The sequence below is a fragment of the Homo sapiens genome, chromosome 12 (genome assembly GCF_000001405.40).
Source record: "Homo sapiens chromosome 12, GRCh38.p14 Primary Assembly".
NCBI lineage: Eukaryota > Metazoa > Chordata > Mammalia > Primates > Hominidae > Homo > Homo sapiens.
The window spans coordinates 113,264,817-113,279,403 of record NC_000012.12 but is presented as its reverse complement, the minus strand read 5'-3'; the positions used below and the strand labels follow the sequence as shown (position 1 = coordinate 113,279,403).

General features: G+C 51.8%; 1 protein-coding gene across 15 annotated transcripts in view, besides 4 other annotated features; it reads right to left on the bottom strand.

Annotated features, from left to right (window-relative positions):
* The window catches only part of TPCN1 (two pore segment channel 1), a 77,122-nt gene that overhangs the window by 19,182 nt on the left and 43,353 nt on the right, over positions 1-14,587 (bottom strand). For all 15 annotated transcript variants that reach the window (XR_001748766.3, NM_001143819.3, XM_017019480.3 and 12 more), the window contains 11 exons: positions 13,048-13,224; positions 11,448-11,561; positions 10,532-10,662; positions 9,559-9,647; positions 6,712-6,746; positions 6,114-6,172; positions 5,736-5,835; positions 2,369-2,485; positions 2,040-2,164; positions 1,167-1,215; positions 569-632 (listed from right to left, as the gene is read on the bottom strand). Coding sequence is in view for 14 of the 15 variants with exons in the window: in NM_001143819.3 (NP_001137291.1) it covers positions 569-632; positions 1,167-1,215; positions 2,040-2,164; positions 2,369-2,485; positions 5,736-5,835; positions 6,114-6,172; positions 6,712-6,746; positions 9,559-9,647; positions 10,532-10,662; positions 11,448-11,561; positions 13,048-13,224 (1,060 nt within the window). In the remaining variant the exon portion in view is untranslated. The remainder of the gene's footprint in view (positions 1-568; positions 633-1,166; positions 1,216-2,039; positions 2,165-2,368; positions 2,486-5,735; positions 5,836-6,113; positions 6,173-6,711; positions 6,747-9,558; positions 9,648-10,531; positions 10,663-11,447; positions 11,562-13,047; positions 13,225-14,587) is intronic.
* Positions 10,216-10,385: an enhancer, noted in NCBI's record as "experimental_24611 CRE fragment used in MPRA reporter constructs". NCBI's record gives its function as "activates a minimal promoter by MPRAs in K562 erythroleukemia cells, with activity observed for both the introgressed and non-introgressed 12:113706909 or rs73192831 variant alleles {active_cell/tissue: K562}" and the evidence as "EXISTENCE:reporter gene assay evidence [ECO:0000049][PMID:34662402]".
* Position 10,300: a transcriptional cis regulatory region, noted in NCBI's record as "Neanderthal adaptively introgressed variant 12:113706909 (GRCh37/hg19 assembly coordinates) or rs73192831 in the experimental_24611 CRE". NCBI's record gives its function as "modulates activity of the experimental_24611 enhancer by MPRAs in K562 erythroleukemia cells {active_cell/tissue: K562}" and the evidence as "EXISTENCE:reporter gene assay evidence [ECO:0000049][PMID:34662402]".
* Positions 11,183-11,375: a silencer, noted in NCBI's record as "fragment chr12:113705834-113706026 (GRCh37/hg19 assembly coordinates)". NCBI's record gives its function as "represses an EF-1alpha promoter that drives an FKBP-Casp9 reporter gene in an ReSE screen in phorbol 12-myristate 13-acetate-treated (for megakaryocytic differentiation) K562 erythroleukemia cells {active_cell/tissue: K562(+PMA)}" and the evidence as "EXISTENCE:reporter gene assay evidence [ECO:0000049][PMID:32094911]".
* Positions 12,374-12,543: an enhancer, noted in NCBI's record as "experimental_24609 CRE fragment used in MPRA reporter constructs". NCBI's record gives its function as "activates a minimal promoter by MPRAs in K562 erythroleukemia cells, with activity observed for both the introgressed and non-introgressed 12:113704751 variant alleles {active_cell/tissue: K562}" and the evidence as "EXISTENCE:reporter gene assay evidence [ECO:0000049][PMID:34662402]".

Sequence of the window (14,587 nt, the reverse complement as noted above, 5' to 3'; positions counted from 1 at the left end):
AAAAAAAAAAAATATATATATATATATATATATATATATATATACACACACACACACATATATATACACACACACACACACACACATATATATATACACACACACACATATGTGTTATTGGATGAAAAGGCAGATTACAGAATGGAATATATAATGTCACCCTACTGTTTTAAAAATGCATAGAAAAATGGCACAGAGGGAAACACATCAGAGAACTAACAGTGGTTATCTGGGTGGTAAATTTCCATTTACTTCTAATTATCTCACTTTCAAGTTTCTTCAATGAACATCTTTGCTTTTGTATGAAAAAAGAAAAATACCCCAAATGTCTTGGTTGGGTTAAGTTACCCATTTTGGTTGGGTTAAGTTACCCATTTCTCTCCCAATCTGCTTCCTACCACCCTTACGTCCCTGCTGGGGTAATCACACTGTCTCTTCACACAGGCATTCAGACAAACACACACACACACACACCCCTCTGAACCTCTCCTCAGACGCTTATCTGTGGTCTCTGAAAACCTCCATCGGCCCCCAGCTGCCAACACCTGCCATACTCAAGCCCACTTACCTTTGAAGATGAGGAGCGCCGTCCTGGGAAGCTCATCAAACCAGTGCTCTCTGTTTTTCTTGGCCTGGTAGACAACAGGACCAAGAGGGAGGGTGTCAGGGCCAGGGACCAGGGCCCTGCCTGGAGCCAGGATGCTGGCTTCCTTTCCTGTTCACCCTGCTAAACTGGGGAACAATGTTAACCTTCAGGGATCTACATGACAACACAGCCAGCCAGTGTGTACCGAGCGTTTACAATGTGCCATGCAGAGGCCTTATTTTAGTATAGTCCTGAAATGAGGTTTGTCAGTAGGGATTATCCTTACGCCACTTCCCAGGTAAGACAAGCCTCAGAAAGGCTCAGTAACCCGCCTGATGTCACACAATAACCAATGGGGTCTAAGTAAGATTCGGTGCTGTTAACGATGACACTGTATCACAAATGTAAGGGCAGATTTGGGGGCTGGGGCCACCTGTGATCCCTGAAGTGTACCATGCCAAGCTGGGGGCTGAGCTGCTCTAGCAGGGAGAGAGCTGGATCTCGGGGTGCCCCTGCTCCTCACTGCCCCACGTGGGGACCTCTCTGTCTACTCCTTCTATGGTCTCAGAGAAGAACTCACCTTCCACTTCAAAGCAGCAACTTCGTAGATATCGTAAAAGTCCTTTAGGCTACCAAAAGCAAAATAAAAAGGGACAAAATATCAGAACATAGTTCCACTGTGCTTTGCTTCTCTTACTTGCCTGCCTATGGACACCTTTATGGGGTGAGGGAGGAAGAGAGGGGACACCATGTGAGTCCCAGCACAGCAGTGCTGGGGGATCCTTTACCTGCAAGCGTTTGGATCTCCTCTGACCTTGAGGTACTACAAATATGTAATCCACTTAAGTCTCCACCGATGGCACTAACTACGGACAGTGTCAGTGCCCTGGAGAGGCAGCTGCTGGAGCACTAGGATTCTTAGGAGGACGGAAACTTCACTTTTTAGCAGGGGCCTTAATGCAACACCTGGGACTGCAAGTTCAGCTCAAACAGGGCTTGTTCTCAGCTCCACAGCAGGCTGCTGTGGACAGGGCTTGGTCATCAACAGCCTGGAAGACCAATCCTACCCCTGGAGATCTCGGGTCAGTTCTCTGCGGCCGAGCCAGGTGTGTGCAGGGGATTGGGGAAGTATATTCACCCCTGTCTGTCCACCTGGCTCACATGGGACTATCCCACCCCACTGGGGGTTCGAGGGCCAGCAGCTGGGCCAGTCCACTTCATGAGCTCCTTTTTTCTCAAGTCAGCTTGAATTGGATTTGTGTTGGACTTTTGTCACTTGCAAAAGGCATCCTGATGAATCCAGTGTGTAAGTCTACATGGATAAACATCTGTGGAGGAAGTCTCTGACAAGCCTATAGGCCTGCCCACCTCAAGGGCCTTCACATGCCCCCGTTCACTCTAGACGTGAACACCTTGTCTGGCCATGCTGCCCCTACCAGGCATCTGCTCTTACCTGAGCAGGGGTGTGTTGTTCTGATTCAGGGCCTTGAAGGTAAGATAGCGCTCCCTGGCACTCATCCGGGGCTTGTAGAAGCGCATGAGGCCTTCAAACTGCCTGTAGGAGATGCCGGCAGGCCTCTGGGGGAGAGGGAAGAGCAGTGTGGAACCCAGGCTACTCCCCTTCCCTTGGGGCACCCACTCCAGATCCACTCCAGCTCTGTTCATTCTTCCAAGGGCAGGGTTCCTGGTTTCTAAAGTGGCTGGCCTGGCCATGCTTAGGGGCTGCTCTGGGCAAGGGAGGGAGGACAGGGACCAAGCCCCTCCCTGGCCCATAGTTCCTACCCTCTGGCTGATGAGCAGGCGGTAGGCATGCTGGATAGCGGTTCGCTTGTGCAGTAGCAAAGACTTGAACTTGCGTTTCTCAATGTCATTGAAGGTGTCGAACACCACAGCCAGAAGCTGTGGGAGAGAAGCACAGAGCCCTAGCTCAGGACCTTGAGTGGTTAGGGCAGGGAGTGCAGGGGGGTATGAGTTCATCATCTAGGCAAGGCTCTTACCCAGTCACCCCAGAGAGGCCCTGGGGAGACCCTCTCGCCTGCACCTCATGGGGTAGGAAGTCAGTCTCCCAAGTCTCAACAGAGGAAGGCCCTTTGTTCCGCTTGTAAATTTCCCTCTTCAGATACATGAAGGCATTGTTACTCCATCTTTCCCAGGTTCCCCTCCACTTTCCCACACTCCTTTCCCCAGTTCCAGCTACAGCTTGTCCCAGGCTGCGCAGGGGCAAGCCAGGGGAGGAGAGAGTAGCAAGAGGGGCGCATCTGGATTCTGAGCCCAGTCCGACTCCAGCCAGTGGCAGGCGGAGGCTGCCTGCCCACTGCCCTCCTGACCTCCGATCCAGAAGGACCCTTCCTCCCCCTGCCCCTTTGTTACTTCTCCTTGTGAGTCACTGCTTCACGTGTGGCCCAGGAAAAAGGGGAGTGAGAGGCTCTGCATGCAAGGAAATAACGTTCTAGAGTTGGCTAATACCAAAAGTTAGCTTATCAGAGGGGGATGGAAGGCCGGGGAAGAACTTGAAAGAATCCTTTTTAGAAACACTTTCTCTGTCTTTAAAAATGTTTTAAGGGAAACTCTCTGGTCCTTTCCCTCAAACTGGTCCCCCATTTTTTCCCTGTGGATCAAAGGTCAGCATGCTTTTTCTGTAAAGGGTTCGACAGCAACTGTTTTAGGCTGTGAAGGCCAAATGATCTCTGCTGCGACTACTAACCTGTGGTCATATCATGAGATCAGCCACAGACTATACATGAACAAATGGGCATGACTCTGTCCCAATGAAACTTTATTTACAAACACAGGCCATGGGCCAAATTTGGCCAGCAGGTCGTACTTTGTTGACTGCTGCCCTAAATTTTCACAGCTCTAAATATATTATGAATTAAATCAAATACAAAGAAGTACTCAACATATTTCTTCTTGGTTTTGAGGAATTAAAACAAGAAAATATTTTCTCAGGCCGGGCACGGTGGCCTGTAATCCCAGCACTTTGGGAGGCCGAGGCGGGTGGATCACAAGGTCAGGAGATTGAGACCATCCTGGCTAACAAAGCGCGAAACCCCATCTCTACTAAAACTACAAAAAAAATTAGCCGGGCGTGGTGGCGGGTGCCTGTAGTCCCAGCTACTCGGGAGGCTGAGGCAGGAGAATGGTGTGAATCCAGGAGGCGGAGGTTGTAGTGAGCCGAGATCGCGCCACTGCACTACAGCCTGGGCAACAGAGCAAGTCTCTGTCTCAAAAAAAAAAAAAGGAAATATTTTCTCCTTTTTAAGACTTAAATTTTGGCCAGGCACTGTGGCTCACACCTGTAATCCCAGCACTTTGGGAGGCTGAGTCGGACGGATCACCTGAGGTCAGGAGTTCGAGACCAGCCTGACCAACATGGCAAAACCCTGTCTCTACCAAAAATACAAAAATTAGTCGGGTGTGGCGGCATGTGCATGTGCCTGTAGTCCCAGCTACTTGGGAGGCTGAGGCAGGAGAATCGCTTGAACCTGGGAGGCGGCGGTTGCAGTGAGCTGAGATTGCGCCACTGCACTCCAGCCTGGGTGACAGAGCGAGACTCCATCTCAAAAAAGAGAAAAGGACTTAAAATTTTTTAGATTTCACAAGTCTACCTGGAAAAGATGATTTTCATTTCTATACTGGGCCTGACTGTGGTGACTGGTGTGAGAATGCTCTGCAGAAGCATAAAAATAAACACAGGACTCGATCGGAAGCCTCTCCCCGTTAGCTCTGCCATGGATGTGTGGTCTGGGCACCGGCCTAACAGCCTGGTGTCGGATGTGATCTGTGATGGCTGGGACACTCCTGGAGGCTGTCCACACCTCCACAAACACCCTCAAAGTTCTTTGAGCACAGAGGCTTTACGTTCTCCTTCACAGAACGTGTTCTATACTGGATTTTCTGATGGTTCCTGATAAGTGAGGTAGAAATACACAAGACATTTCTGGCACGTGAGTGCAACTGAACAGAGTGGTTAGGAACAGGGCTCTGGGATGAGCCTGGCCTGGCCACTCCAAGCTATGTAGCCATGGGCAAATCACACTGTCACTCTGACCCTCAGTCTCTTCATCTGCACATGGAGAACCATACTCACTACCTCCACGGTTGTGTTTATTTATTAAATTATTTCATCCTCATATGTAAAGCACTTTGCATAGTGCCAAGTGGCTAAGGCTTACTAAATGCCAGCTTTTATGGTTATTATAATATACTTGGCCTTCTTTATCTGTGGGTTCTCCATCCATGCATTCAACCAACCGCAAATCAAAAATATTCCAAAAAGAAAAGGATGGTTGTATCTGTACTGAACATGTACAGCCTTCTTTTTCTTGTCATTATCCCTAAACAATATAGTATAACAATTTTTTTTTTTTGATACAGAGTCTCGTGCTGTTGCCCAGGCTGGAGTGCAACGGCATGATCTCGGCTCACAGCAACCTCCACCTCCTGGGTTCAAGCAATTCTTCTGCCTCAGCCTCCTGAGTAGATGGGATTACAGGCACCCACCACCACGCCCAGCTAATTTTCATAAGTAGAGACAGGGTTTCACCATGTTGGCCAGGCTGGTCTCGAACTCCTGACTTCAAATGATCCACCCACCTTGGCCTCCCAAAATGCTGGGATTACAGGCGTGAGCCACCATGTCCAGCCCAGTATAACAACTATTTACATAGCTTTTACATTGTATTAGGTGTTATAGGTAATGCAGGATAATTTAAAATATATGAGAGGATGAATGTACACAGGTTATCTGCAAATACTCTGCCATTTTATATAAGGGACTTGAACATCTGTGGATCTTTGTACCTACAGGGGGTCCTGCAAACAATCCCTGTGGACACCGAGGGTCAACTGCTTATTTCTGATGTAAGAATGAAAAGGTCCCAGGGTTGCCTGGGTTTCACATCCAGCACTACCAGCATCAGCAGCATTGCCTTGGTGAGGACGCCACCCCCAGCAACTGGCTGAACTCCTGAAGTCCCGACAGGGCATTCCCTGCAACACCGCACCTGACTATGAATCTGGGACTTCCTGCCCCAACGTTCTGCCCTGAGAGGCAGAAGACAGTCCCCACTTCTCCACTCCCACAGTGCCTAGTGCTGCATGGGTAGGGGCAGGCTGCTTCAGCGTAGCCTGAGGCATAGTCACTCACCAGGTTCATGATGAAATACAGCTCGATGGAGAGGTACACGATGAAGAAGACGCAGGACCAGGGGTTCCGGGAGTAGGAGGGCATCATCACATCTGGGAAACTGTATTTGCAGAGGGTGACCCGGCGTGCTGTATCTGCCTGTCTCCATCCTCTCAGAGCACATGCCTTGCAGAGGACAGCTCCTTGTCTGCCTTCCCAGCCTCCAACCCTGGTTCCCCTACTCTCATCCCTGGGCTCCGTGCTCAGTGGGCCAACCCTGTCTCCCAATAGCACCACAGCACCTGCCTGTGCTGGGATGTGGAATATACTTGGCAGAAAAGAGAAAGAGACCCCAGGGCGGCAGCAGAGGACCAAAGGCAAGGCAGAGCCTGCACTTACTTGGCTGTGGTCAGAAGGACAAACAGACTGACGATGCTGTTCTCCAGGGTGCTGAAGTACTGCAAGGGAAGAGAGGGCAGAGAAGTCGGGACCAGCCAAGAGCACACGGCCATCAGGAACAGGCTGTGATGGGCCACCTGGCATGCCCTGCCTTGACCGCTCTTGCATCTCTCAAGGAATCCCTGAGGGAGGCAGAGGAAAGAGCAAACATGCAGTCCAGAGGCCTCCCCTTTCCTGCACCTGATGCTTCCGGCAGAAGCAAACTATTGACTTGGGGGGACTTTTTTCTAGGGAGTCACATGTCTGGGCCATTCGCCTGGCTCTCCCCCACTGCTCCTCTGCCAAAATATTCCAATGGTCCAAACCTGATCCTGGCGGCACTCCTTTCAAGAACAGAAAAGGGGATCCCCAGCTCTCAAGGAAGAAAGTGGTCAAGTCTGAGTGATGGGAACTCCCAGGTGCAATGCACACACAAGCTATGATGAGAAACCAGGCAGGCCCCCCCTTCCCCATATGGCCACAGGGTCACGCCGGTGACCCTGTCTGAGGGAAAAGCCCTCCATAAAAGAAGAGACGGACAAATGTGCTGATTACTTACGGGGTCTGAAGGGTTAGGGGAGAACAAGTAGAAACCTAGAAGTGGGTGGAAACAGATAAACAAAAGGATTAGAGCAGAGGTCCCAAAACCTGGTGTCAAAAGGACTGGACAAATACATGCAAATGAACGCAGCAGGTCAGGAAGAGCAGCAGGGACTGCTGGGGACCACAGCACCCTGAGAACACATGCTCTGTTGGAAGGGAGCAGGGCTGCTGGCACCAGACGCTTGCTGCCCTACAGCAATGTGCCGGGCACTATCGGCTCTGTTCTTTCAAAAGGCTGGAAGTCTGTATTTTTGTGTAAAATCTAATTTTAAAATGCTGGCTCAAAGTTTTCAGACCAAACAAAACCCATCTGTAGGCTGGATCTGGAATCCAGGCTGCTGTTTCGCAATCTTAGGTTCTGAGAACATGACAGCTGACTAAATTCCAAAGGGATCCGCTGCTCCCTGCAGCCAGGGTCCCAGGGTGGGAATGCCATTCACTTCCTCCCTCCAGGAATGGACCACTCCCTGAGTCCCTGAAATCCTGAGTGGGAAAAGGGAGGAACTCTGCCCTCAGGGGAAATCAGCCCCTACCCCCGGAGAAGCACAAACAAAATTCTACCAAGAGTGGGGTGGTGGGTGGGAGGAAGTGAGAGCCATGACTCAGGACAAGGCAGTCACGAGGGCCGGGAGGGGTTGGCCCTGGCTCTAGCCTCAGAGTCAGGGCTCTGGAGTTCCACTGTCTTCACCATCTGCGGAGTCCTGGTGAAAGGACCTCGGCTTTCCCAGCTGAGTGCCACGGCTTCCGATGTCTATGCCCTGTGACTCTTGTGTGGCTGTCACAGTCAGCCCCACCTGAAAAACTAAGCCCTCCTGAGTGAGCAGCCTGTGACCATGCTGTACCCAGTGAAGCTGAAGCTTGCCGTCTCTCAGGGCCCAGGCAAGCGCCTTTGGGAAACTCTCAAGCGTGAGCACCGGGAAACACACAGGAGTGTTCACTGCGGTGGGATTTGTGATAAGAAAAACGTCCGACAGAAGAGCAGATAAACAAGCTTTGGCATACTTGCTCCGCTCCAGTGAAAATGAATAAACAGCATCTACATGTATCAACAGGAATAAATTTCAAAAACACAGTGCTGAGCGAAAGGGCAATGTGTAGAAGCGGACACCCATATTATATAACCACTTAGAGACTTTTTTAAGTATGCAAAGCATTATCATTTCTTTGTCACTTGGGGAAATGTAAATGTGAAGTAAAATATAAAGACGTGCATGGGAATGATAAGCGTAGGACAGGGGGTACCTTTGGGGAAAGCGGGAATCACAATCACTAAAGGTCACAAACATGCCTTCCATTTTATTTCTAAGGCTTCATTTCCTAAGCTGGATGGTAGGTCCATGGGTGTTCATGTTATTATTACTTATTTATTTTTGAGACAGAGTCTTGCTCTGTTGCCCAGGCTGGAATGCAGTTGCGCTGTCACAGCTCACTGCAACCTCTGTCTCCCCATGCTCAGGTGATCCTCCTGCCTCACCTCTTGAGTAGCAGGGACCACAGGTGCATGCCACATGCCACCATACCCAGCTAATTCCTGTATATTTTTTTTGTGTGTGTGTAGAGATGGGGTCTCCCTATCTTGCCCAGGCTGGTCTCGACCTCCTGGACTCAAGCGATCTGCCTGCCTCCTCCTCCTAGAATGCTGCGACAATCAGCGTGGGACACCATGCCTGGCGTATTTTTAAAATCTTTCTGAATTTATAAAACTACCTGCTCTGGTCTGAATGTTTGTGTCCCCTGCCCCTAATCCCTATGTTGAAATCCTAATCCCCAAGTTGAGGGTGTTAGGAGGTGGCGGCTGTGGGAGGTGAAGAGGTCATGAGTGTGACGTCCTCCCGAATGGGATTAGTGCCCCTATAAAAGAGGTCCCAGAGGCCGGGCGCGGTGGCCCACGCCTATAATCACAGCACTTTGGGAGGCGGAGGCAGGTGGATCACAAGGTCAGGAGTTGGAGACCAGCCTGGCCAATATGGTGAAACCCCATCTCTACTAAAACTACAAAAAGTAGCTGGGTGTGGTGGTGGGTGCCTGTAGTCCCAGCTACTCGGGAGGCTGAGGCAGGAGAATCACTTGAACCTGGGAGGCAGAGGTTGTAGTAAGCCGAGATCGTGCCACTGCACTCCAGCCTGGGTGACAGGGTGAGACTCCGTCTCAAAAAAAAAAAAACAAAACAAAACAAACAAAAAAGAGGCCTCAGAGAGCTGCCTCCCACCTTCCACCACGTGAGGACACAGCCAGAAGGCACCACCTATGGATCAGGAAATAGGCCCTCAACAGACACCCACAGCTGGCCTTTGATCTTGGACTTCCAGATCTCACAGCCTCCAGAAAGGGGTGAAATAAACTTCTGTTGTTTATAAGCTGCCCAGTCTATGGCATTTTGTTACAGCAGTCCAAAAGGACTAAGGCACTGTCTAAATAATTTTTCTTTTCTTTTCTTTTTTTTTTTGAGACAAAGTCTCACTCACTCTGTTGTTGCCCAGGCTGGAAAGCAGTGGCACGATCTCAGCTCACTGCAACCTTGGCCTCCCGGGTTCAAGCAATTCTCCTGCCTCAGCCTCCGAAGCAGCTGGGATTACAGGTGTGCACCACCACGCCCAGCTAATTTTTGTATTTTTAGTAGAAACTGGATTTCACCATGTTGACCAGGCTGGCCTCAAACTCCTGACCTAGGTTACCCACCCACCTTGGCCTCCCAAAATGCTAGGATTACAGGCGTGAGCCACTGAGCCAGGCCCAAAATAATTTTTCATCCACCGTGAACTTGCTTTTCCAGCGCACCTGGGCCTGAGAGGCGGGAACTCACCGAGGATGGCAAAGATGATCATGAAGAACAGCAGCAGCAGGAGGATGTCCATGAAGGGCGGCAGGGACTGGAAGATCTGCCGCAGGTTGCTGGGGAGAGATGGGCCAGCTCAGGGGAGGCACCAGCTGGGGCGGGCTGCCTGGGACTCCTCCTTGTTGAGATGGAGGCCTAGTGCTTCTGACTCGAAATACTAAACCCTGACGCACTCTGGTGTGACATCATGCTTCATTTTTTCCTAAAGTGGCTTGAGACCCCCACTCAGCGGATGGCAGGGAAGAACTAGGGCAGGCGTAGCACACAGCCACCTCCACCTGGTGAGGCCCCAAGGAGGTGAGTGCCATGCAAGCAGGGAACAGAGCAGCAGAAGGCCAAGGGCATGACCTTGGGTGCAAAGGTCAGTTTCCATGAGCAGGATGTGGAAGGCATGAAGACATTTCAAGGCCACTTAGTCCTGGGACACTGGGCCTGTTTCAAGGACACTGAGTCCTGTTTCTAGCTTTGCAGATGGGCACAGAGAATGAATTGCAAACCCACTCTCAGCAACAGTAGCCCAGCCAAGGAATTTTCCAGATTGAGTCTCCCAAAATAAATCTCAGTCGAGGCTTGGTCTGGTTTGAGTTTGGTCCTACAGCCTCGATGGAGGTGGCAGGAGAGTCTGCTTGTGTCACATGGACGCTGCTGAGCTGCCTGCATTTGGGTAGATAACATGCCTAGAGCGAGGAAGCAGCTCTGGAAGGCTGCGGATAAGATGGGAAAAAGCCCTGGACCCAGAGGCAGCAAACCTACACTGCGGTAGGAATACCGCTTTCTCCTGTGCGTGGATGGAATGGCAGAGGGAGAGTGAGTCTGCGTGTACTCCACCAGCATGCAGGGTCGACCTCATCACTAACTGACTCACAAGCTCCTGCCCCACTGGCCCAGAGGTCAGGCCATGCCAGGATAGTGACTGCCCAGCTCCCCACCCGGGCCTTACCGCCGGACGCCACCGCAATACCGACAGTCCACCAGGAAAATGCAGCGCAGTGCTCGGGTCACCCGCACATGGGACATCTGCCGTACCAACACCACGATGGCCTCGACAAACTGCACCACCAGCACCGAGGTCTGTGGGTGGCAGGCATGGAGCACCGTCAGCCCCTGCAGCCCAGCCGTCATCCTGCATACCTGGAACGGGGGGCTGGAGAGGCAGTGCCCACTCTGGCCTCGGGAGGCCTTCTCCTCTCTCCAGCCCTCTCACACTTCCTGCCAACATCAGGCAGCCCCAGAAGAAAAAAAACTCCAGGTGCTGGCACAGGTGTGTGGCACCAGAAGAATGGAAGGGCTGTGTGACTGCTGGTATCCACTGAGGAGGCAAAACCGCCACTCTGCCAGGACCCCTCGATCAGCCCTCGCCACTCACATCAGGGATCCCGGGGCCTGCAGCTCCTCTTCAGCTCTGCTTACTTGGCTATATTCTCCTAGAGTAGCGCACATGCTCCACACACTACAAAATGCCACCTTGACGTGCTCTTACTCATGCCACTCTCTGTGGCACAGAGAGAATATGCGCAACACTAGGGACAGGTGAGCCGGGCGCAGTGGGCAGAGCTGGGTGTGAGCCCCATGTCTCCAGATGAATGTAAACCACGGAGAGCAGCACATCTCTCTCGAAGGTGACTGCGCCAGTGCCTGGCAGGTACCAAACACCCAATCACATTAGCTACTGCTGGCATCACGACATCCAGGGCACCCACAAGGCTGAGGGCACGGTCAGGACAGGGACCCTAGGGTTACACCTCTGAGCATGGACTGGGCCCATGGTGGATTCTGAATTGTACCAAAGAGACAGGTTTGAAGGTGACATGGGAGAAAAGGCTGTGAGGGGAGGGACAGATGGGCGGACACATCACCTTGACCATGGTCCGCTTGTGCCGGATGAAGGTGTGGAGGCCCAGCCAGCGTAACTTCATGCAGAGTTCAAACACTACCACCATCAGGGCAAACAGCTCCAGGGTGGCGTGGACCTGAGACCAGAGGGTGTGGAGATGTGTCATGGCCAGCCCAGCCCATGGCCACTCCTCTTTGCCCAACCCTCCCAGGACCTGGGAGTGCCCCAGGACATCCTCCCAACACATATCAGAGTTACAAAAACCTGGCCTCGCATGCCTAAAGACAGAGCCTTGGTCACGGAGCTTTCCCCAGAACAACTAAACATAAACTTGATATCCATGAAACTGACATGCTGGCCCAAATGATGAAAAATCAGGAAGGAGCCTGAAGTTTAAAAGTAAGAAAAAGAAATTAGCTGGGCGTGGTGGCGCACACCTGTAATCCCAGCTACTCAGGAGGCTGAGGCAGGAGAATCGCTTGAGCACAGGAGGCAGATGTTGCAGTGAGCCGAGATGGTGCCACTGCACACCAGCCTGGGCAACAGAGGGAGACTCAGTCTCAAAAAAAAAAAAAGTAAGAAAAACAAGATAAGATAAAATTTAATATCTAGTCTTGTTCTAAGAGGGATTTCATGTAATTTACAAAAGATCTATAAAAGACACTAAGAAAGCATCAATTAGGAACTTAAGAAATAAAATCCGATTGTCAAAGAAACAAGGACTGTCAAGCAGAGAGCAGCCCCTAAAACTCTCATCCTCATTTTGGACAAAAGGACAAGACATGGAAAACCCTTAGATGGAAAACCTTCCCAGCAGGGAAGTCAAGTGCTTCTGGGAAACAGACATAGGAGAGCTCCTCCTCCTGGGGGTAGGGAGGTCCAGGGCCTGTGGACATTCCAGTGGGCAGGAATTGACAAAGTGAAGGGACAGGAAGAAGGACTCCAGCACAGGTGACGGCATGGGGGAGGTGTGCACAGAAAGAAACACAGACTGGCTGGAGCTGTGAGTTCCAGGCATGAAGAAGGAGAAACAGGAAGGGAAACTGAGTCATGGAGGGCCTTGGAGGCCAGGCTGGATGAGCGCTTCCTAACTCAACAGGCACAGGCTCCCTTCCCTGCTTCCATGCCTACCACACACCCCTTGAGAAGGGGACAAGCACAGCTCCACACCTGTTCTGGCCCCCACTGAATGATGGCTGGGCCTGGGTGTAGGGACATCTGCGGGGCTGGGGCTGCCCAGGAAACATCCCCCACCTCCCATGGTGACCACACCGAACTGCCTTCTCCTTTGAGGCTGGAGACAGAGTAGTGGGACTGTCCACTGGGTGCCCTCCCCACCCGGAGCCAAGGTGTGGGCACTGGTCCTGAGCAGGGCCTGGGACACTTCCCCTCCCTGGAATTTACTGGTGGGCAGAATCCCAGAGAGACTGGGTGAAGGCCATTCACTCCAGCAGGGACACCCAGGCATTTCCGCTCCCAAGGCCTCTATGACCACCTCGTATCTCTCTGTTTTAAGTCCGTTTGCAGTGTTTGCCCTCCCAGAATGTTCCTTTTTGGAGTTCCATCGCTTGCCCTGAAAGCCGTGGCTCCCAGCCCCCCGTATGAGGAGCATGTGCGCTCACATAGATGCCAAGCCGGAGTGCGGGGACGGCGGGGGCCTCGCACAGGGAGAGCAGCAGCAGCAGCAGGGCCGTGGCCAGCTCCATCAGGTAGAAGAGGTGATTGTGTGCAAAGAGGTAGGCCGCCAGCGCCTTGGCATCCTTGGGGTGGGTGAAGAACTTGTCGTTGTTCTCGCCTTCCTGAAAAGATGAGAGTAGTGTGGGCATGTAAGCCTGGAGACCCATCCAACGCCAAAGAGGAGCCGCGGGCAGGGGAGGAAAGGAAGGCCCCAGGCAGGCGAGGAGAGATTCAGGCCAGAGACAGAAGATGCTGGAAAATCAAAATGATCTTCGCGAAACTCACGGTGGTCAGGTCTCACTCCTGCCTGCTGATGGGCTCAAGAGATTTGCTGCTTCTTAAAAACCACTCGGAGGAACCAAAGACTAAAAGGGTCCAGAGACAGCCAGGTGTGGTGACATCCCAGCTACTCCGGAGGCCAAGGCGGGAAGATCCCTTGAGCCAGGACTTTGAGTCTAGCCTGGGCAACACAGCAAGACACCATCTCTTAAAAAAGAGGGGAGGGGCTGGGTGCGGTGGCTCATGCCTGTAATCCCAACACTTTGGGAGGCCAAGGCAGGAGGATTGCTTGAGCCCATGAGTTTGAGACCAGCCTGGGCAACATGTTGAGACCCCTGGTGCCAGCCACTTGGGAGGCTGAGGTTGGAGAATCACTTGAGCCCGGGAGGTCAAAGCTGCAGTGAGCCAAGATCGTGCCACTGCGCTCCAGCCTGGACCACAGAGCAAGACCTGGTCTCAAAAAAAAAAAAAAAAGAAAGAAAAAGAAAAAAGGTCCTGAGAGGAGGTAAAGAGAAACAGGCATGTCCAATCCCCTCAGAGGCCAAGTTCTCCCTCTAGGAGTGCCCAGCAGAGTGTAAAGAGCTCAGGGGCCTGGGAGGAACCACACGTGCTGAACCCTGGCTTTCTACTCCTTCCCTGAGGAATGCTGGGAAGGTTCCTTCACCCTTGAGGCTGAGCTTCTTCAACGATAAAGGAACTAACATTAGTGCTTCCTCCTGGAGCTGTTGTGAAGAGGAAAGGTGAGGACATTTGTGAGGCAGTTAGGGTGGTGTCTGCCACACAGTCAGCTCACTACAGGTATTTGCTATTATCGTAAGTTATATGAACATTACCAGAAAAAAAGAAGCCAATAACCCTGCCTAGTCAGACCCTTTAACACCCATCAAGAGCTACCCAAAACAGGTGCAGTGGCTCATGCCTGTAATCCCAGCACTTTGGGAGGCTGAGGCGGGTGGATCACCTGAGGTCAGGAGTTCGAGGCCGGCCTGGCCAACATGGTGAAACCTCGTCTCTACTAAAAATACAAAAATTAGCTGGGTATGGTGGCATGCGCCTGTAGTCCCAGCTACTTGGGAGGCTGAGGCAGGGGAATCACTTGAACCCAGGAGGTGGAGGTTGCAGTGAGCCAAAGTTGTACCACTATACTCCAACCTGGGCCCCGTCTCCAAAAAAATAAACAAAAAGAGCTGCACAGTGGCGTATTGC